Here is a 22,611-nt window from a genome sequence, read left to right on the forward strand (position 1 = left end):
TCTAACAAAAGACAGTGAGATAAGACAGTAATAAGATCAGACAAGGTGACTTCACTGGGGTAGAGGATCCCCCTTGGGAGTGGAGAGAGATAAAGTGGGATGGATATCAGGACCACTCAGCAGAACATTTTTAAGGGACTTAGGGCTGAAAAAACAAAACAGCACAGAATGTCCATCAAGGTCATTAATAGAATGTATTATTGACTCATTTTATAAGAAAAACTTTTCAAAGGCTACTGGCAGGCCCTGAGTATGGTCTGAGGTCTCCAAATCCTCATATCAGATGTAAATATCCATCAAGGTCATTAATAGAATGTATTATTGACTCATTCTATAGAAAAACTTTTCAAAGGCTACTGGCAGGCCCTGAGTATGGTCTGAGGTCTCCAAATCCTCATATCAGATGTAACTATCCATCAAGGTAATCCTCCCCAGGGAAGGGAAGTCCCTTCCTTCCCTACCTCCCTCCCTCCTTTCCTCTCTCCCTGTGTCTTTCCTCCCTTCCTCCTTCCTTTCCTGCCCTTTCTCCCTCCCTCCCTCCCTCCCTTCCTTTCCTTTTTCCTCCCTCCCCTCCCTCCTCATGGGAGGCAGTGTGCCTGCCCTTGGCTCTTGGTTGGTGTCTGCCCTCACATGTCTTCATCACAGGACAGATTTTCTTTCTGTCCCATAGACCAGCCTTTCCAGACCCTTTTTGAGGGACAGCAACGCTTCCTTGTTGCTGGCGGGCAACCATTCTTGTTTAGGGAGATGTGAAGGTTTTTCAAAAGAAACAAGCCATGTGGACAAAGGAGTGGAAGGAAAGGTTAGGATTCTGGAGATACTGGGCTAGAATACAAAGGCTACAGGTCCATAGGGAAGAGGAATCTGGGGAAGACTTAGTCAAATGTTCTAGGGGAAAATATTGAAATGTCAGCGGGTATCTCTTTCCTTCTTCCCTTCCATGAGGAACAGGCACAAATATGAAGGAGAACTGACCTCAGAAGTTGGAGGCAGAGCTTTCTCTCAGCTCACTTGACCCAGAACTGACCCTTTTAAAGCTTTATACCAGGAATTCAGCAGTATATGAGATCCATTCACATAGTCCTAGAACCATTAAGCAATGCAGACAGACTCTTGGAACGTGGTATGGATTTCTGGCAGTTCCCCTTGTGACATGCGCCCCTCAGCCTGTCTATTGGGACCTGCTTGTTTATCTTTCTCTCACTCTGCCAGTAGTCATTGACCTGGTTTCATCATTGCTTTGGAGAGCTATTCAGTATGTTCCTCCTCTGTCCCTAAAAGCCACTGCTCCTTAATAACTCAGTGTGTGGCCAGCCTATTCTGAATTCTCTCTGAGGCATCCCTCTAGATTCCTGTTTTTATTGAGTAGCTACTGTGTGCTAGACAATGCAGTTCACTACTTTTACTCTGATGGGTCTTCAGATCTCAACAGGGTCTTCATATTGGTCTCCATTTTTAACAGCATAGTGGTTAAAAGCACTGACGTTGAAGTCGGCTTCTGCTATTAGCAGCAACATGATTTTGGACAAGTCCCTTAACCTCTTTGAGCCTTAGTTTCCTAACCTGTAAAATGAGATTGATATTAGTTCCAATTTCATAGGACTGTTGTGGAAATTAAACGGGTTAATATGTATAAAATGCTGGGCTCCATATCTGACCCATTATGAGTTCTCAATAACAACATGCTTTTATTATTCTCATTTTGGGGGTGATTATAATGACCCAGGGCACAGGGTAGTCCTCTTTGGAGTAGAGTGTGCAAATTTTCTTCTCTGAATTGCTCTCTGTGATGGGTTACAAGGATCTTCCAAGCATAGAGAGGATCTAACAGTTCCCAGGTTGATCTCTCCATAAAACTCCATTTTCCCATGAAGAGGAGACTATAGAGTAAGTTCCAAGATCATTAAAGGCAACTGTAGGCATCTTGTAGAGCTTCCTTGCAATCAGAGAGCCAACTAATGTTGGAGTTAAAGGTCCTTAGAGAGCACTTAAAAAAAAAGAGAGAGACTTACAGGTTATGATCACATCAGAACTAGTGGCAGCCTAGGCCAGAAGTCATTTCTCCTAACTCCCAAGGCAGCATTCTTTCTACCCCACCAGGATTTCTCATGTTGTATATGTTTTGCCTATCTCTCTCTGTCTTGGTTTACCTTCCAACCTTCATTCTTTCTATCTGTCTGTCTATCTATCTATCTATCTATCTATCTATCTATCTATCTATCTTCTATCGATCTATCATCATCTATCTATTATCTATCTATTTAATCTATCATCGATCTATATCTATTCTGTTATCTATCAATCATCTATTTAATCTATCATCGATCTCTATTCTATCTATCTATCTATCTATCTATCTATCTATCTATCTATCTATCTCTCTATCTATCACCTATTTAAGCCAGCTCATCTATCAGGACCTTTTTCTCTAAACTGAAGCTTTTTCACATCCCAGTTTATGAGGCGTGAAAGCTGAGCTGCTCGGGCCGCAGGCAGAAGCAGGCCCAGCTCCCTGCTTACTGCTTTTCTTTTGCCCTCTGCGGCAGCCCTCGAGACTGCCCACACTCTTACCTTATCAGTACTTGTGCATCTGTTTCTTTGACATGGTTTCAAATTCCACTTTTCTAACCAGTTTTTCTGGTACATGGAGTTTTTGAAGCGGTTCTGTCTTAAAAGGGGGCTGTCACCTAATTTTCTCCATATGATACATTGTAAAAGGAGAAGTATTTGGACAGATCACGCTGAACTTTGATCTTTCCAAGGAGCCTCGAAGCCAGTCTGACTCTAACACTGGCCAGAGTTCTGTAGGATGGGAAGGACCCTAAAGTAAACAAGCCGACACCCCACTTTCAACAGTCCAAATATTTCTGTCCTCAGCTTGCAGCACATCCAGGATCAAGTTCCAAAAATTCCATTTAATTTTTCTTGGCTTCTATATTTACTTAGTTACAATTGGACCAGAAGGGGTCTTGGCACCAAAAACCTGTAAGGAAAAAGCTCTTTCTTTAAACTTTGTTGCCCAATTTTGTAGACATTACAGGTTCAGATAAGGTTGTGGGTGGCCCGTCAATTCTTTCTACATGTTGTTCTAAAATGAACCCAAACCCTGCCACCTCCTGAGATTCCCTAGTCAGACTGTGGCAATAACAAGCGGACATTCCTGATTTTAAAGCCAAGTTTTCCTAAGGGTCAGCTCTTCTCAGTGCTCTTTCTCCTAGCCATGTATGTCGCTTGACCTGGAGGTGAGGGGAGAACAATGGTCTGAGCCTCTTCTTCTGGCCCCTGTGCAGCTGCTTAGAGGCATCTGTGTGAATGCGCACTCGTTGTTCACCTGAGAAGGTGAGAGAAGTTTCTGGAAGCATTGCTTTAACTTTCTTAGTTACTTCATACTTTTAAACCCCCAAGCTGTGCCCCATCAATTCAGTCTTCTACTATAGCGGTTTTAATGATAGCTATGTAAGTAGTTTCTTTGCCACTTCGGGTAGCCGTGTGTGTGTGTGTGTGTGTGTGTGTGTGTGTGTCTGTGTGTGTGGTGTGTAGGAGGGTAAGGGCAAGTTAAGGAGCTCATTATCTTCTGAGCTCCATGAGGTCAGGGAACATGTCCGCCATGTTTAGTGCTGTGTCGTCTATCCTCTGGGCTTATCACATACCAGATACAAACAAGACAAGGATGTTGCTTTTGTGAGCTTCAAATAAATATTGGCTGAAGGAATGAGTGAACATCTGCCTTACTGTATTAATAGGTCTTTCCTTCCATTGCAGAGTTAGAAAGTAAACCATTCTCTGAGACCCAGGACATGGACTTTAGTGGACTGTCGGTTTGTATCCATAGGGACTGGTCAGTGGGGCTACCCTTAAATCAAAGAGGTCATTCATGTGATATGCTTTGAAGGGTATTGGGAGTTCTTAACATCCAAAATCATCCCATATTTTAAGGCTTGACAGTCCAGCGTTTGAGATAAATTTATTTTGGTCTTAAGTGTTGTTTGTTTGGCAGTAGTTCTCCATGGGAACGTCAATATTCCTCATGGGACATCATCTTTGGATTTGTTAGTCAGATGAAACAGCAAGATATGGTGAGCAGAGCATTGTTTTTGGAATCAAATGGACCTGTGTTCTAACGCTGTTTCCACCATTAACCATCTGTGTGACTTGGATAGTTATTTGACCGCTCTCAGTGGGTTTACTTTCTGTAAAATGGGGATAATAATACTTGCCTGTCGAACTCATGGAGATAAATTGCGTAGTTACAATTGTACATTACAATTGAGTGTGTAAGGTGTCCAGCTATGTATTGGCACACAGAAGACCCTCAAATCACATGAAGTATTTTCCCTACTTTTCTCCTTCCTAAGAGCCAGATCCTGAGGAAGAGGCTGTGGGTGGCATGGTTTGGGTGGGTGATGATGGTAAGAACAGATGGTAATGAGAACGAATCTTGTCACGGATTTAAAAATTTTTCTGGGTGGGACAAGTCTCATTGACTAATATTGGTTGATGGCATGTAAAACTAGAAACTAGAGAAATACAAAACTTTTTCTAGTTATTTTATTGGAACAACCCAACCGGCTTTATGCAATGCCTTTGTGCACATGTGAAAAGGTAGCACAGGCCAGGTATCAGTTACTATTTGCCCCATCAGCCACTTGCCCTGTGCAGTGAACTACCTGTCCAATATATGAGATGGGCCTGCCAATCAAAGAGATCAAATTTGTGTAAACTTGGCTGAGTCACTAAAGATAGAAATTTGTGGAGGAAAATTCATGATTTAAGTCAGAAGATCTGGTTCAAACCACTTCCACTACCAACTCTAACCCAGAGCATGTTTGTGAGATAAGTAAATACTCCAAATGCCAGTTGCTTCATGTATAAAACAATGATAATGATGCTATCTTTGTAATCTATTCTTTATAACAAATTACCTTAAAATTTATCAGCTTAAGAAAGAAACAGCATTTATTATCTCACACAGTTTCTGTGCATTGAGAATGCAGGAGCAGATTAGCTGTTTGGTCTGGCTCAGTGTGTCCCATAAGGTCATGGTCAAGATGTTGGTGGGTCAATGAACATAATACAGCACAGCAACAGAATGAAAACCAAAAGCCCACGGTCATATCAGTAGATGCAGAAAAAATATCTGACAAATCCAAAACACTTCCCTGATAAAAACACTCAACAAACTAGGAACAGAAGGGAGCTTCCTCAGTCTGGCAAAGAGTATCTGTGAAAAGCCTACAGCTAATATCGTATTAATGGTGAGACTAGATGCTTTCCCCTGAATTTCAGAAATAAGACAAGGATGTTGCTTTTGTCACTTTTATTCAGCATCATATTAGGGGATCTAGCCAGGGCAATTGGGCAAGAGAAAGAAGTAAAAGCCATCCAGATTGGAAGAAAAGAAATAAAACCATCTCTGTTCACAGATGAAATGATCTTGTATATAGAAAATCCTAAGGAATCCACTAAAGAAAACTATTAGAACTAATAAATAAGCTCAACAAGGTTGCAGGATACAAGATCAATATACAAAAATCCATTGTATTTCTAAATACTTGCAATGTACAATCTGAAAATCCAATCAAATCAATTCCCTTTACAGTAGTATCAAAATGAATAAAATACATAGAAATGAAATTAAAAAAGTGGAAAACTTATACTCTGAAAACTACAAAATATTGTTGAAAGAAATTAAACAAGATCTAAATAAATGGATATTCCATGTTCATGGATCAGAAGACTTAATGTTGTTAAAATGGCAATATTCTCCAAACTCATCTACAGTTTAGTGGTTGCTTAGGGCTGGGGAAACTGGGAAGATATGGAGGTGACATCTGAAGGTTATGGGTTTTTGTTTTTGTGGTGAAGGTGTTCTAAATTTGACTGTGGTGATGGTTGCACATATCTGTGAATGTACTAAAAACTAGTGACTTCTATCCTTTAAATGAGTGAACTGTATGGTATGTGAATTATATTTAAAAATGCTGAGTGTGACTGCAGTTATCTGAAGGCTTGATAGGAACTTCAGGATCCATTTCCATGTTGTTCCTGCCCCACTGGGCCACTGAGCATCCTCACAAGATGGCCGCTGGCTTCCTCCGGGGGGAGGAACCCAAGAGAGTATGAGGTGAAAGCCAGAAAGTCTTTAATGACCTAATCTTAGAGGCCACACTCCATCATTTCAGGTGAGCCCTATTCAGTGTGGGAGTGGCTACAGAAGGGCATGAATATCAGGAGGAGAAAATCATTTGGAACAGCTCGGAGGCTGGCTACACAAACACCTGCCTCACGGGGTAGCTTTCATGATCACATGAGGTAATGGGTATAAAACATATTGTAAACTTTAACCTGCTCTATCAATATTCAATATTGTTCATCTTATAATTGACATGGATTTGTTGTCCAAAGCTAACTGAAGTTTGCTTATTAATGTTTACTGCTTTAGTTGGTCAGAATTAGTGTCCTAGAACTCTCAACTATCTGCAAAATTAAGGTATGTTTTTGAGACTATGTCTTTATTGACATTTAGATATGATGGAGAAGCTAGTAGTTCTAGAATTTACCAGGAGTGAGACCCATACAGCCCTGCTTGTCAATTCAGCACCTCATTTATCTCCTCACAGATTTATTATGTGGGCCGAAAAGAGGCAAATTATGTTGTAAAATTATCAAAGAGAAGGGGAAAGAAACCTCAAAACTGGGACCCAAGAAGAAACACTGACTTTCTTTGGGTTATTATCTAGGGAGATGTGCTTTGCTCCTCAACTTGTGTGGGATCTGGTCCAGCTTCAGGCCAGCCCCAGGAGTGCAGTTTCAGACAGGATGGAGATGAGGGTGTGGTGGAACTTCAGCCAGATGTCTGGAAGCGGCCAGCTCCCTGGCTTTGTGGCTGCCTCTCCCTCCCATGTTTATGGCTCCAGAAACACAATACTTGTGGCCACTAAAGCCCAGGACAGCAGTGGATTCCAGGCTGTCTTCTGGTGTCTACTGGTTATGATTCTATCACAGGCAACACACAGAGTTTAGGTTCAACACCATCATGAGACTGCAGTCACAGGTTCACAAGCTAAGGGTAGAGGCTGGTTATTTAGACAGTTTCCCTAACTGGTGTGTATGTTTCTCTCCAACTTACTGAGTCTAGTGCTTTCTTGATTTCCAGGGGATCTCTTAGGAGAACGCTAGTCTCCCACCTGCTTGGTCCAAGCTTACTCCCCTAGTTGCCTAAGAAACCTATTCTCTCACCTACCTAGGTATTCTCTTTCATAATTTTACAAATGTTGTTTAACATCTGTGTTAGCCATTTCCAGAATGTTCAGAAATCTAATCTCACGTAATCATCAATGGAACCCGGTGGTGTTGGTAATGCTATCATCATTTGAAGACTGAGGTAATGAGAACACGAAAGGTTGGCCAACGTGTCTAGTAGCACACAGCTGGTAACTAGTTCCCCAACCCGGATTCTCTGGGCTTCCTCCTGACTCTGCCCCTCTTTTCTTTGGCCCCAGACACTAGGATTTCCCTAAACCTATGGCATCTCTACCCTTTCTAGGGGAAGAGAGTGACCTGCTACAATTAATCCTCATAGAAATGGATGATGTTTCTATAGGCTGTGTAGGCCATTCTCCCTAAACACTCTCTTCTGGTTTGAGTCGTTGCCAGGAGCTCCAACCTAGCCCTTTCAGAAGTTAATGAGGAGACAGCGAATCCTGGGAATAGCCAGCGACCACTGCAGGGTAAGCTTACAGTAACTGAATAGCAAGGTCTGCTCTGTAAGCCCCAGATGAGCTCTGGAATCATTCCTGCCGTCTGAGTCTCCTCCCCACTGGGCTTGTTCAGAGGGCACCCAAATTGGTTTGGGCTCCATCCTGGTGTGCTTTCCTGCCTCGTGATGGGGTAAAAACTGGGCCATCCTCTGCGGGCCTGCAGAAGCAGGAGGGAGGACACAGTGATGCCTTATGTGGAGATCTGGTCACTCGTGCTGCCTTGTGACCCTCTTTAGCACCGAGGAAAAGCTATGAGAGAGCAAGTACTCAACAACCGCTTTTTGGATTTAATTAAATTGTAACCAATATTTTGCCTCCCCCTACCCTCACCCAGAAAACTTATTCAAATAAAATACATGTAAATGAAATTTCTTTCTCCCTCTCTTCTTTCCCCCTCCCTTCTCTCCCTTCCTTCACCCAGCTTTTTTTTCTCCTCTTTTATTCCTTACCTTTTTCTATACCTCATAACATTTATAAAGAATGTCAACACTCTCCAAGTACCTTTCAGTCTCCCAAGCCCTGCACACAAAGGGCAGATTTTGAACAAATAATGAACCTCCCCCAAATAATCTCATCTGATCTGTTTCACCACTTTTACCCACAATGCATATCAAATATAAATGATCACTAATTCATTTCATCCCAAATCCTAGTGCTTGTCCTATTTTATTTTTTCCACCTTCTGCATTAAAATACTATGATTCATAGCCCTCCACTCCCACCCCCGGGGGTAGAGTGGGTGGGAGGAAGAAACAACCCAACTTCTAGTTTTCTGCCAGTGGCCTGTAAGGTTTCTGAGCAGATGATGAGGGAATTAGCTTTCAGCATTCGTAAATTTGTGGCTGGATCACTTTGGTAATCTGTGAGTATTCAGTAAGTTGCTACCTAGTACCTCCTCCTACCACTTCTTTTACTTTTTTTTTTTTTCAGTTTCATTCTATTATTTAAAGGAACACTTCTACTTTTTGTGAGTTTCGTTTCTTACAGTAATGAGTGCCAGTTGCCTAATATTTGGGGCAGATGTCAAATTTACTTAAATCATATTATATACTGGCAATTCTGTTCTCAACCAACTCAGGAACTTTAAGGACTTCAGAAAGGCATGATTCAGCAATTGACCTCAAGAAAATGTTACACAGAGAATCTCTTGACCAAGCTCCAGAGTTTTCTTTAAACAATTTACCCAAAGTTCTTCAATACAGAATGCAATAGCGTAGCCCAACAATTTTTGCTGATGTCTGACTTGAAAGGAGGCTATATTGAAATGATGTAAAATCAGTTCTTAGACTCTCTTCAAAGAAAAAGCCATGTATGACAAGTGGCAGAGAAATCAAACTACAGGAATGAAAACACAACTCTTAATGCCGTAGTCATGCTCAGGGAGTATTTGAGAATTTGCACCTGGCAACTTAGTTAAAAGCAACCATACATTTATGTATTGTAAAAGGTATGATTCTGAAGGACGAAAGGAGGAATCCTGTAGGAGAGAAAAAAAAGGAACATCAAGCAAGTGAATTCCAATAGTTTAAAGGGTTCTCTGGGAAGAATTTTTTTAAAAGACAAAGAAGTCCAAGGGAGCTGTTTGTTCCATAAGAAAACAATATGGTTCTAATAATATAAGAAAAAATGATCTTGATCTATGAGAAAGCAGGGAAGGGTAGAAATAAATTAACTTGGCAGGGCTAAGGGTTGCTTTGAAATGATCTCAGAAGTGGTAAGTTTGCCAGGCTACCAGTAAAAAGGATGGAAAAAAATGGAAATAATTTGCTTAGAAAACCAGAAAAGCCAAAGTAGGAAATGAAATGCAACTCTCAAAGGACATAAAGAGAAACAGAAAAATGCCATATATTAGTTAAATACTTAAGACATAAATGAGAGATATAGAAAAACATCCTTCACAAGTGAAAAAAGAAAGCTAAAAATATGGGATACTTAAATGCCAAACTTAAAAAGATTTTTAAATTGTGAAAGCAATTTCACACATCGAGTTCATATATGAACCATTTTGTATGGGTTTTGAAAAGCAAAATTTTGGTGCATTTTCTTCCAGACCTGAGCCATATAGAACTTGAAATGTGGCTAGTTCAAATTGAGATGTACTGTAAGTATAAAATGCAGACTGGATTATGAAGATTTAGTTAAAAATCTCATGAATAATTTTATATCGATTACATGTTGAAGTTATTATATTTTGGATAGTTATGTTAAATCAATATATTAAAATTAATTTCATCCATTTGTTCTTAAAATTTTTAACGTGTTTCCTAGAAAATTTAAAATTGCATGAGTGGGTCACGTTATGTTTCTATTGGACAGTGTCATTCTATTTTTTGTCTTCTATATGAACGATCAGGAAGTTTTTGTTAAACCAAGATAACAGTACTAGAAAATGATCATGTGAAGTTAATTAAAATAAGAGTGAAAATTTCATAATAAGCAGTTAAAAAGATTATGATTTTATCTTGGGAATGTAATGAAATTATAAAAATAATTTTATTGTAAGTATTTTAAATAAAATTTAAGTTATACTTGCAATTTTATACCAATTCTTAGAAGAAAATGTCAATAAATAAGGAGATTTGGGGTGACATGGGGCAGACAATTTTTTATTTTTTTTTTGAGATGGAGTCTCGCTCTGTGGCCCAGGCTGGAGTGCAGTGGCGCGATCTCGGCTCACTGCAGGCTCCGCCCCCCGGGTTCACGCCGTTCTCCTGCCTCAGCCTCCCGAGTAGCTGGGACTACAGGCGCCCGCCACCACGCCCGGCTAATTTTTTGTATTTTTAGTAGAGACGGGGTTTCACCGTGTTAGCCAGGATGGTCTCAATCTCCTGACCTCGTGATCCTTAAAAGAAAATGAAAGCTTCAATACCACATCTTTGACCGCATGTTTGATTTTTTGGTAACAATTAAAAAGGGAAATTTTTTGTAAAAATATTTGAAGAGTTCATAAATTCCTCAAGAGTCTCTTTTAAGACTTTAACTGTTACATCATTCTCTTTTGCAGGACCTGTCTCGTATCATCCTTGTTGACTTTCTCTTTGTTTTTTTACCACTCTAACTCTCCAGCTCCTTATCTGCTAGTGGTTTTGCATGTGATTTGTGTAGTTCTCCAAACTGCCTCTCATACTTCATGAAATCTTGCAACTGTGGTGACTTAGATAGTGAATATGTGGGTAATGAGGACCCTTGTATATATTTACATAGCTGGGGTGACACTGTTGTACACTGCAGTGTACAGGTCTATCGTATACTGCCACTTAATATTACATCACAGTTATTTTTCCATATCTTTAGGAATTCTTTTTTTTGCATCCTTTTTACAAGTACTTTAAGAATTCTTTAGAAACATCATCTTAAGTGAATGAGTACATAATAATCGCTCTTATGAGTAAACTATAATCTATAATTTATGGAATCATTCCCTATTATTGGATGTTTATGCTGCCTCTTTTTTCCTCTTTTTTTTTTTTTTGCTATTATAAACCATGTAGGAAATAACCTCTCTGAACACAAATCTTTATTACATTCCCATTTTTGTTTCTAATTACAGGGTAAAAAGTTAGACATTTTAGGCTGAGCGCAGTGGCTCATGCCTGTAATCTGAGCACTTTGGGAAGCTGAGGTTGGTGGATTGGATTGCTTGAGGCCAGAAGTTCAAAACTACCCTGGGCAACATGGCGAAACCCCATCTCTTCAAACAATTAGCCAGGCATTGTGGTGTGCACCCATACTTCCAGATCCTTGGGAGACTGAGCTGGGAGGTTTGCGTGAGTCTGGGAGGAGGAGGTTGAGATCATGCCACTGCACTCCAGCCTGAGCAACAGAGGGAGACTCTCTCTCAAAAAAAGTTATGGACATTTTAATCCAAACTGCCAAATGGTTTTCCTGAAGATTAATAATAGTTAATGCCCTTACTAGCAGTGAATAACCTCATGGAATCATACTCTTGCCAACACTGAATATTACCAAGAAAAATATTTTTGCTAATCTTATATGTGAAAATAATATCCATCTATTTTAAATTAGAATTTCTTTGATGATGGCTTAGAATGTTCATTAACTATGTACAATTTTTTTGGATTCTCTGTTCATTTTTTTTCATTTATCTATGGTGGATGTTTTTGTCCTTTGTAAGAGGCTTTCTTCTATATTAAAGGCATTAACCCTTTGTCTAGCATATTCGTAAAAACTTAGGTTTTTACTTTCAAAATTATTGTTAAATAGTTTAAATATATACAAAGAAATAGAGAATATTTATAAGAATTCTGTATACTCACCACCAGTTTTACATATGACCTTAGCCAAAAGGCTGAGAAGCGATCGCTGCCAGTTTTAAAATCTTAAAGTTTGCCGTATTTCGCAAAACATGTTAGAAGTAATTGAATCCCTGGTGGAACTCCCCTCACTGCTCATTGCCATGCTCCACTATTCTTCTGTCTGACCCCAACCAGAAAAGCTTCTCCTTCTCCTTCTCCTCCTTCTTCTTTCTTCCTTCTTCTTTTTTGTGACAGCGCCTCACTGTCACGCAGGCTGGAATGCAGTGGTGTGATCATGGCTTACTGCAGCCTTGACCTCCTGGGTTCAGGTGATCCTCCCACCTCAGCCTCATGGGTAGCTGGGAGCACAGGCACACGCCACCGTGCCTGGCTAATTTTTGTGGTTTTTGTTGAGGCAGGGTTTCGCCATGTTGCCCAGGCTGGTCTCGAACTCCGGGGCTCAAGCAGTCTACTTGCCTGAGCCCCACAAAGTGCTAGGATTACAGACGTGAGCCACTGCACCCGAAAAGCCACTTCTTTAGGCTTCTGATGGTAGTTCCTGTGCATGTTTTGATACTTTTACTGCATACTCATGTGTCCTAAGTTACAGTGTTGTTTTTTGCATTTTATAAATGTGTATAAATGGTATCATACTGTAATATGCCCTTCAGGAGGTGGTTCTCGTATTTTTATTTTTTGCTCCAAATTACATTAAACAATATTTATTTTAAATAAACAAATAACCAAATTAAGTTTCTGAAGTTTGTCCACTTTAACTACTATAGATATTTAATTATAACTCTTCATTCTTCTATTAGGACTTTTTTGGCTATCACAGAAAATGCTGCAAAAAATTCTTTAATGTGCCTCCTTGTGCACTTGTGCTATAGTTTTTCCAAGGTATATATACAGAGAAGGAGAATTGCTGGGTCCTAGGACATGAATATCCTTAATTTTACACATATCGCCATATTTTAATCCATAGTGGGTTTTACCAATTTACATTCTCACCAGTAATTTTTGAGTTCTTCTTTCTCTGCGTCCTGGAGAAGATTTGGTATTGAGAAGCTTTAATTTTTTTTAACTTCCATTTTCATAATTCTAGTGAGGTCAAGCCTTTTTCACAAGTATATTGGCCATTTGTTTTTCTCCTGTGTATTTCCTATTGTATATTTTAACTATTTTGCTATTGTGCTACTTGTTCTTTCATATTGAATTATAAAAGTATTTTATATTTTCTAGACATCCTTTGTTGATTATATGCATTGAAAATATGGTCTCTTCATCTGTGACTTATTTCACTTTTTCCTCACATCTATAATAGTGCAGAATTTAAAAAATAATCAGTTTGTATTTTTTTCATATAAATTTAGTGTTTTCTTGCCTTGTTTAAGACAAAAGACGTCTTGAAGATATTTTCCCAATTTTATTCTAAAATTCGTGAAGTTTTCTTTCCAAATTTATGTTTTAATCCACTTGGAATTTATGTCTGTGACTGCTGGGAGGGGGGCGATATAATTTTAGGGGTACTCAATTGTATCAGGACCACTTACTAAATATGCCGTCTTTTCTCCACTGATTTTTTTAAAGAGACTTTTCTCATTTATTAAATTTTAGTTTATATGAGAGTCTGTTTCTGAGCTCTCTGCTCTGTTGGCTTACTTGTTCATCCCTTATTAATGCACTGTCTCAATAATTTTACTTTATAAAAAAATCTTGATTTTTTTTGCTACTATAAACCATGCAGCAAATAACCTCTCTGAACATAAATCTTTATTACATTCTTATTTTTGTTTCTATAGATACCTCGAAGTGTAATTAAATAAAGTGAGGGACAGGACCAGCAAGCCCTGTCCCTCACTTTATTTATCTATTTCAGGAGTATCTTGGCGATTTGTGGGCCTTTTCTCTTCCATGTGAATTTTAGGACCAAATAAAGATTTTAATAGAATTGTATTTTTTTCAAAGACTTATTTCAAGAGAATTGATGTCTTTTTAAATCTTGAGTCTTCAGGCCAGGCGCCGTGGCTCATAATCCCAGCACTTTGGGAGGCCCAGGCGGCTGGATCACAAGGTCAAGAGATGGAGACCATCTTGGCTAACACAGTGAAACCCCATCTCTACTAAAAATACAAAAAATTAGCCGGGCGTGGTGGCGGACGCCTGTAGTCCCAGCTACTCGGGAGGCTGAGGCAGGAGAATGGCATGAACCTGGGAGGCGGAGCTTGCAGTGAGCCGAGATCACGCCACTGCACTCCAGCCTGGGCGACAGAGCAGGACTCCCATCTCAAAAAAAAAAAAATTGAGTCTTCCATCCATGAACATGAACATGTTTTATTTCTCTATTTATTCAGGTCTTTTCTTGCTTCAACATTGTAATTTTCTTAATAAAGGTTTTATATAATATTTATTAGATTTGTAGACATTGTACAGTTTTTGTTGATTTTATGAATGAAATTCTTTTTCCCACTAAGTTTTCTAACAGTGTATTACTTATTTATAGGCATCTATTGAGTTTTAATAGCTTTATTGTTCACACAGTGTACAATTCACCCATTTAAAATGTACATTTCAATGGTTATTAGCTTACTATATTCAAAAATTTGTGCAACCATCTCTATAATCAAGTTTAGAACATTTTCATCACAGCAAGAAACCCAGTATCCTTCATTTCCCCGCCTTCTCCTGTCCCTCCCTACCTCCTCCAGTCCTAGGCAACCACTGATCTACTTTCTTTTTTATAAGATGGAGTCTTGCTCTGTCGCCCAGGCTGGAGTGCAGTGGTGCGATCTTGGCTCACCGCAACCTCTGCCTCCCAGGTTCAAGTGATTCTCCTGCCTCAGGCTCCCAAGTAGCTGGGACTGTAAGTGCGTGCCACCATGTCCGGCTAATTTTCGTATTTTTAGTAGAGATGGGGTTTCACTGTGTTGGCTAGGCTGGTCTTGAACTCCTGACCTCATGATCCACCTGCCTCAGCCTCCCAAAGTGCTGGGATTACAGGTATGAGCCACCGTGCCCGGCCCACTGATCTCCTTTCTATCTTTTTATGTCTCTCTCTTCTGGGCCTTCATATGAATAAAATTATATATGATGTAGTCGTTTGTGACTGGCTTCTTTCATTTAGCACAATCTTTTAAGGTGCTTTTCATGTTGTAGCTGTATTGGTACCTCCTTTCTAAGACTGAATAATATTCCGTTATTCAGCACTATGAATATGGATATGGATACAGATATATACTGTTGATTTTTACCCATTGATTTTGTTTCTAATAACATTGCTGAAAGCTTTTATTAATTTTACTGATACTCTTTTTTTTTTTTTTTTGAGACAGAGTCTTGTTCTGTCAGCCAGGCTAGAGCACAGTGGCATGGTTTCCGCTCACTGCAACCTCCACCTCTCAGGTTCAAGTGAGTCTCATGCCTCAGTCTCTAGAGTAGCTGGGAGTACAGGCGTCCGCCACCACACCTGGCTAATTTTTGTATTTTTAGTAGAGACGGGGTTTCGCCATGTTGGCCAGCTGGTTTCGAACTCCTGACCTCAAGTGAGCTGTCCGACTTGCCCTCCCAAAGTGCTGGGATTACAGGCATGAGCCACCGTGCCTGGCCAATATTCATTTTTAATGTAGATTTTCTATAGACACTCCTCTCCTCTGCCAGTAGGGGCAGTTTTGTAAATTCTTTTTTTTACTTTGTGCATTTCTTTTTCTAATCCTTGTCTTATTTCACTGTCTAGGACTGACTGGAAATGTTGATATAAGCATTATTGTCTTACTCCTGACTTTAATGCAATTGCTTTTAAGATTTTACCATCGAATATAATGTTACCTATAGTGTTTTAGTGAATACACTTTTGAGATTAAGACTGTTACGTTTTTTCTTTTTTCTTCATTGGATAGGCATAAATGTTTTACTGTTGATAAGATGTTTTTCATGACAAAGTTAAATTTTGGCTGTTTTCCATCTATGAGATGATCAGATTTCTCCCTTTAATCTACTAATGTGGTGTGTTAATGAAAAGATTTTCTAATATTGCATTCCACATCATTAAACAATTCTCTAACATTTTTCAGCATTCATTCAACATCTTCAATCCTTCAATGTTATGGGTTGGAGATCTATTATGTCAGGTGTAGAAATAAAGATAAATAACACATAGTCCCTTTCTTCAGAAAGCCTATCATTTCTTTTGAAAAGTAAGAGAATGAGAAGGGGGCCTGTAAGTAACATGTATTCAGTGTTTGCTATGTGCCAGGTATTCTTTTAGATGCTTCAGAAATGTATTCTGATTTAATTCTCCCAACAACTCTATATGATAAGTACAATAATTTTATCCATTTTATATATTAGATATCTGAGGCTTCCAGAAATAAGTGATTTGCTCAAAATCAGCACTCAAACCAAGACTCCGTGGCCCTAAAGCCCAGGCTCTTGCAATATAAGTATCATGGTTATTGAAAGCACGGAGAGTCATGTTTAAGTTAGGTTTATGATTTCCAGAAAATATTGGATTTAAATGATTCCTTCAATGAGGGGGCAGGCATGAGATAGAGGGGAGTGGTAGACAGCAGTTGAAGCAGAGGAGGCTATGGGAGGTGAGCAAAATCTCAGGGTCAGGAAAGCACAAGATAGCCCAGGGACCAAAGGGTAGACCGGTTAGCTATGATGTATACATTGTGTAAGATGATGTTGGGAAGTAAACGTAGAGAGATAGATTAGCAGATTATCCCATGAAAACGCTTGTGATGACATGCAACACAGATTGGAGTAAGGAAAGCCAGAATCTCAGCAGGAGGCCGTGGCTACTGTCAAAGTGAGCAATAGTAACAACTCTTCCTTTGCTCCTCATTGATCTTAGGATGGAGTCCAACCAAATACCTTACCTTGGTTGACTAGACCTGACATAGTCTGTCCCTTTCTTTCTTCTCCAGTCTCATCTTACCCCTTGCCCTCTCAGCTCCAGCCTCATTGGCCTCTCTGTTTCCTGAACCTCCTATATTCCTTTTAACCAAATAGTCTTAGAATAAATTGTTCCATCAGTAAGCAACTTTCTTCCTCTTCTGAGCAGGACACCTCCATTTGTCTAGTCAATTTCTACTCATACTTGATGTTTCAATCCTTAATTGTGTTCTTCTCTTTCAGGAGTACTAATTTCAGTGTATAGCTCTATTTTCATTAGAGTTTTCCTGAGCGATGCTTGTCTCTTCTCCCAGGTTATAAATTCTGTTGCTGGAATCGGGAAAGTCTGAGTCTGTTTTTGCTTACCTAATTCCTAGCACAAAGCCTGGCTCAGAGTAGACACTTGATATATATGCATAGTTGTTAAATGAATGAATAAAAAAACAATTTATCTGAACTATGGAGGGTGAAGTCAGTAGAAATAAAATGAGTAAGGAGGAAAGGAGATTGCTTTAGAACTCTCCTTTTTACTTGTTAGAAAGAAGAGCTGACTTACTTGGTGATTGACTGAACATGGGGATGAAACAGGTGAAGGAATTAGGAATGGTTTTCAAGCTTAGCTTCCAAATGAGTAATTGAGAGAGAAGTATTATTAACAGAAACAGGGAATCCAGAAAGATGATGAATTTAATTTTAGATATATCAAATAACTACGAAGACCCTGAGGAACATATCCAATAGGCGTTTGCAGGTCAGAGTAGTCATATACGGAGATACAGATTTGGGACACGCTTTCAAAATGAAAAGCCATCCATTTAAGAAAGTGGAATTAACTAGAGAAACAGAATAAACAGAATAGCAGAGGCCCTGGGAACTTCATATTGACACATGTCTATTGAAGGAGGCAGTAAAGAGAAGAGGAGTTGATTAAGGTGACAGAGCAGCAGACGGGGATGACATGAGGGTTGAGTACTGTCACAGAAGCCAGAGGAGAAGTGGATCCCACTGAATGGAACATCAACATTGCAGAGGAAGAACGAAGACCAAAAATTAGGCATTGACCTTTAGACAATTCCTCATTGACCTCTGGGAGTAGAGTTTCTATAGAACACGAAGTGGGACAAAATACTGATTTTCGGGAAAGAAGAGACTGCTTGTACAGACCACTGATTGAAGAAGTGTGGCAATGGCAAGCAAATATGAATAGGATTGTAAGTAGAGTGAATGGTGGAGGAGACATCAAGGAACATTTCTCGAGTTATTAGAAGTCTGTACATGCTTATAAACACAGAGGAAGTCTGTGGACAGGAGAAATTGAAGGTGCAGTTGAATGGGAAAAGGGAGTATACAGGGCCAGCCGTGCTTATTGAGGGAGGAGTTTTCCAGAAGAGATGAAATAGGTGGTGTGGCTAACTTGAGTAAAAGAGCTTGCTCTCTCTCTGAGACTATCATTTCTCATCAAGACTGCGGAAGAAATTGAGGAGGGAGGGGAAACTGAGTGCGCAAAGGAAGTGGAGTAATAGGGAACAGGCTTCACATTCCCAGCATTCTCCACTTGCACAAGCTCACACTGGGGAAAAACATGAGTTGTTGCCCTGGAGCAAGCTGCCTGTCTGCCAGGCCAGTAGTGAACCAGCCCCTTTCAAATGCTCCAGACCTATGAGAACCAAAAAAAAAAAAAAAAAAAAAAAAAAAAGGAGAAAAAAAGGTAGCTTCAGGGCTGACACATGGCAGCTGCGTTCTGGGAGTTGGGCTACTGCTGGCCCTGTCCATGCCCCTCTCTGAGGGCTGTTGGAAGAGGCGCTTTCTTATGTACACAGGTGGAGGAACCCACATTTCCAATCTCCAGCCCCACCTCTGGCCCAGCCCAGCTGCAGACACCCTTCCTTTGGGCTGTGAACTCGACTGCATGGTCAAGCCTAGGGCAGCCTGAAGCCAGTAATGAAAATCCCTGGCATTTCCTCTCATAACCATTTCCAAAGGGCTTTCCCCAAATATGATCTCATTCCATTCTCATGGCACCACGGCATTTTCATCTCCAATTTAGAGATGCCAATCACTAAGCGCCTCTAGAGAGGCCATGCAGTTAATGGTATCTAGGGCTGCTGATTTGAAAACCCGGGCTCTTCCAGCCATCTCACATGGTCTGCATCTGACTGATCTCCTTTGGTGGTGAGAAGGTGGGCTCTGGGGTTTGGGAGATGAGAATGACGAAAAACACCTGTATTAGCCATCCCGCCTGAGTTGCCAAAGGTAGCCACCTCCGTCCGTGGGTCAGGAAGCCATTTCCATTTCTGCTAGAAGGAACTGATGGTGCCTATAGATTGAAAATCTTCCCATGAAAAGAGAAGCAGAGCAGGCAATTGTTATGTGTTTGGTGGTGTTGGTATGTGGGGCATGAAGAGGAAGGAGAAATGTCTAAGACTACATTCACCAATCTTAAGCAAACTTCATTGCTTGAAACACAAGAGGGAAACGGCTGACTTCCTTCGTCTTCACCTTGGATGTGTGAAGGTTCACCCCAGGTGAAGGGCACTGACCAGATGTGTGACCTTGGGCAAGTCACTTCATCCCTTTAGGCTTGAGCTTCCTTTCCTGGAAAACAACGAGACTGAAATAAATGCCTAAGGTCTTACTAACTCGAATAGTCTCTGAGTCCAGGATTCTTAGGAAAATGGAAATCATTAGAGCAGGAAGGGAAGAGTTTCTTCTTGGGGACTTCTGGTTCAAGGCCTGCCTTCCTGAAGGGGCAGTTCAATCATTAATAGGTCTGTGAAAAAGCATCATTTTCTTAGGGATGGAGCATGCCCTTATACTATTTGCAAAACTAGCTAACTAACTAACCAACCAGCTAACTAACCACCTAACTAACCAACTAGCCAATTAACTACCTAACCAACCAGCTAGCTAGCTAACTAACTAACTAACTAACTAACTAACTAACTAACTAACTAACTAACTGAAACTAACACCTGAACAGCAGCCACAGTGTGGGGAAGGAGCAATTGCAAATACCCTTTTCTTCCATTGCAAACAGGGACGGCTCCAGCAGTTGGATGGCAGCCCTGGGTTTCCTGACATAACCTGTAACTGCTTGGTGCTCTTCAGCTTGCAGGGCACAGGCAATTTTGGTTTCATGCGGCCATGCCAAGTGCAGACAGAGGCCCCAGCTGCACTTTCAGTCACGTGACCTGGTGACTCAGGCCCTTTCTGGTTCCTGCTTGTCAGGGTATGGGAAAGGTGAGAAACTACTTTGCAGTGGCTCTTTGGGAGGGTCTAGGGATGAGCAATAGTTTGTTATTATACAGGTTGCCCTGAACCCTTTTTATATGAGCATAATAAAGTTATCTTATAACCCCAGAATTGCCGTTTTCAGTTGATGTCTGCAGAGTTGCTGTGTTCATCTCCTGTCTCCAGGAGTAAGCCAAAGTCATCTGAGGGGAAAAAAACAATCTACATTTCACCACTTCCTTTAATGAAATAGTTTGGTATTTAACCACCTCATCACCAGAAATGTCTTTTATGCTAACCTGAATCCACCCTGCCATGTTTAAGCATAATTCCTCTTACTTTGGTAGACAGAGTGGAAAATTTGTTCCACAATGGCAGGAATGTCTACATAACCTTAAGAGAAGATGCTAATTCCAACTTTATTTTCTCTTCTCTGCCTATCTGTAGCCTCTGTTCTTTCAAACTAGGTTTCAAATTTACCTCTTTTAGGAATCTTTCACTGTTGAACCCCTCCTTTCTACAGAAGAGACCAGAACACACAGGCTCAGAGTTTATTTTCTAATGCGTTTGTTCTTATTGATGTGCTATTTTGAAAACGCTTTTGAGTCTATTTCAGGGCACAGTGCTCTGTATTTGCAGGTGGGATGGATTCTCTTTAATGCAACTGTGGTGTTGTGAAAAGCGCTGTGGCCTCGGAGTCAGGAATCCTGGATATGTCACTTACCAGCCGTTACTTGAGGCAGGTTCCTCAATCTCGGAGAGGTTCAGATTATTCCTCTGGAAATCAGAAAATGAGGCTCTAACTCCTGGAGTCACTGTGAAGATAAATGAAGGAATGTATATGAAAGTGCTGAGGATAATGGCTTGCATTTAACAGGTTGGCCCATTGACACTCACTCACATACTCTGAGGGACCAAAACTTCTATTTCTATTGTTTTTCTCCATAAGGCCTCACTACACTGCTCTGTCCACAGCATAAGCTTAATGAGTGCCACAAACTGACTATCTATTTGGTACCTAAGAACAAGCAAGCTGGAAAGGGCTTAGGGCCACTTTACGGTCTGGGTGAAGTCTTGAGAAGTCCAGGATGCGGGTCCCCCTTCCAAGTAGGTCACAGGAGATGGCTCAGTGTGTGTCTCTGAGCCAGGGAACCGGATAAGAGGCAGGATCCATGAAATAGGAATCTAGGGGTAACAGAGGATTTGGTCCTAAAAGAGATGTCTGGTGCAGGCATGTGCCAGAGAAAAAGGGGCCAGCAATGTTTCTACTAAAACCTATTCCTTGTAACTTCACCAGCTCTTAGAGTTCACCTTTGCACTGCCGGCTCCATTTTCCTGCGTCACTTCAACAAGCCAATTTCCGGTCCTTATTGGGACTGTGGGAGGTGGGGTTTCTTTATCCAGGTGCTCAGTTTGATTACCTAGGAGAGATAGATGTTATTGATGTTAGAGTAATTTCTTTTCCCTGGGAAACGCAGGCTTTCACCTCTGCCTGGTTCCTTAGCCCTTCCTGCACACGCAGGTCAGAGGCTTGGAGATGGCTGTGGCCATGCTCTAGTGAGTGCAGGTGACAAATCCCAACACTGATCCAGTTTGACTCCAGGGTGAAATGGGCAGGGATGACTCACAGGTTGAGGAACCCGCTCCACAAAGGCTCTGTGGAAGGAAATGATGTCTGGGTGGGAAACGGGCTTGCAGCCTTGGGATGAACTAAACCTGGAGAGATTACTGAGGGCCAGGGAGGGGTTTATTTATAGAGGGTGAGGCCTTCTCTTTTTCCCACTAGGCCAGATGAATGGAGAGGTGAGGAAAGAAGCCTGTTGGGAGGCCACATCTATTCCCCAGCTCATCTCTTCAGTCAAAGCCTGGCAGAAGCTGCTCATTTATTTTTCTACCACCAATTCCCTGACCCAGTTCCCTGACCCAGGATAGGATATCAGGTGGTAAATCAATGCTTGCATGTGGTGATTTTTGTTTTGTGGACCCTCAGATGCAGACAGCCAAGCTAAACACATTCCTCAGCCACACTGTTGTTAGTAGGCTGTGTAAGGTCACATTCTGGTTTTATTTTGGTCATTTGCTTTTTTCCTTTCATCCCTTATCTTCACTTCCATTTCCCTTCTGTACCTCCCTTCCCTATTCCACACTCTACCTGTACCCCTGACTCACTCATGGCATTCTAATGACAGAACAAGAACCCCGTGCATGTGCCCCTATGGCTTTGGCAAGAGCTTCTCTGGGCGTATACCAGCCTGTGGGATCGTTGGGCCATAAGGCATAGGAGTACTTCATTTCACTAAATACTCCCTGGTTGCTCTCCAGAATGGCTGCGCTCCAGCAGTGAATGAATGAGCCTGTTTCCTGGAATCTTCTCCAGAACTTGCTATTACCTGGCTTTCTAATCTTTGTATACTGGGTGTGTGTAAAATAGTATATCATTGTTTTTAAATTTGTGTTTTTCTGATTTC

At 40.8% G+C, this 22,611-nt stretch overlaps 1 long non-coding RNA gene across 1 annotated transcript, besides 2 other annotated features; it reads right to left on the minus strand.

Annotated features, from left to right (window-relative positions):
- Positions 1-1,668: 1,668 nt before the first annotated feature.
- Positions 1,669-3,876, minus strand: LOC124902882 (uncharacterized). Its single transcript, XR_007063215.1, has 2 exons — positions 2,572-3,876; positions 1,669-1,987 (listed from the first exon to the last, which is right to left on the minus strand). It is a non-coding gene; the product is annotated as an uncharacterized LOC124902882 (long non-coding RNA).
- Positions 19,653-20,852: an enhancer, noted in NCBI's record as "BRD4-independent group 4 enhancer chr12:13318180-13319379 (GRCh37/hg19 assembly coordinates)". NCBI's record gives its function as "activates an origin of replication core promoter dependent on BRD2, P300/CBP, MED14 and CDK7 cofactors, and independent of BRD4, by STARR-seq in HCT116 cells {active_cell/tissue: HCT116}" and the evidence as "EXISTENCE:reporter gene assay evidence [ECO:0000049][PMID:35650434]".
- Positions 19,982-20,276: an enhancer, noted in NCBI's record as "tiled region #6201; HepG2 Activating non-DNase unmatched - State 10:DNaseD, and K562 Activating non-DNase unmatched - State 22:ReprW". NCBI's record gives its function as "activates a minimal TATA promoter and a strong SV40 promoter by Sharpr-MPRA in HepG2 and K562 cells {active_cell/tissue: HepG2 | K562}" and the evidence as "EXISTENCE:reporter gene assay evidence [ECO:0000049][PMID:27701403]".

The sequence above is a fragment of the Homo sapiens genome, chromosome 12, assembly GCF_000001405.40.
Source record: "Homo sapiens chromosome 12, GRCh38.p14 Primary Assembly".
Lineage (NCBI taxonomy): Eukaryota > Metazoa > Chordata > Mammalia > Primates > Hominidae > Homo > Homo sapiens.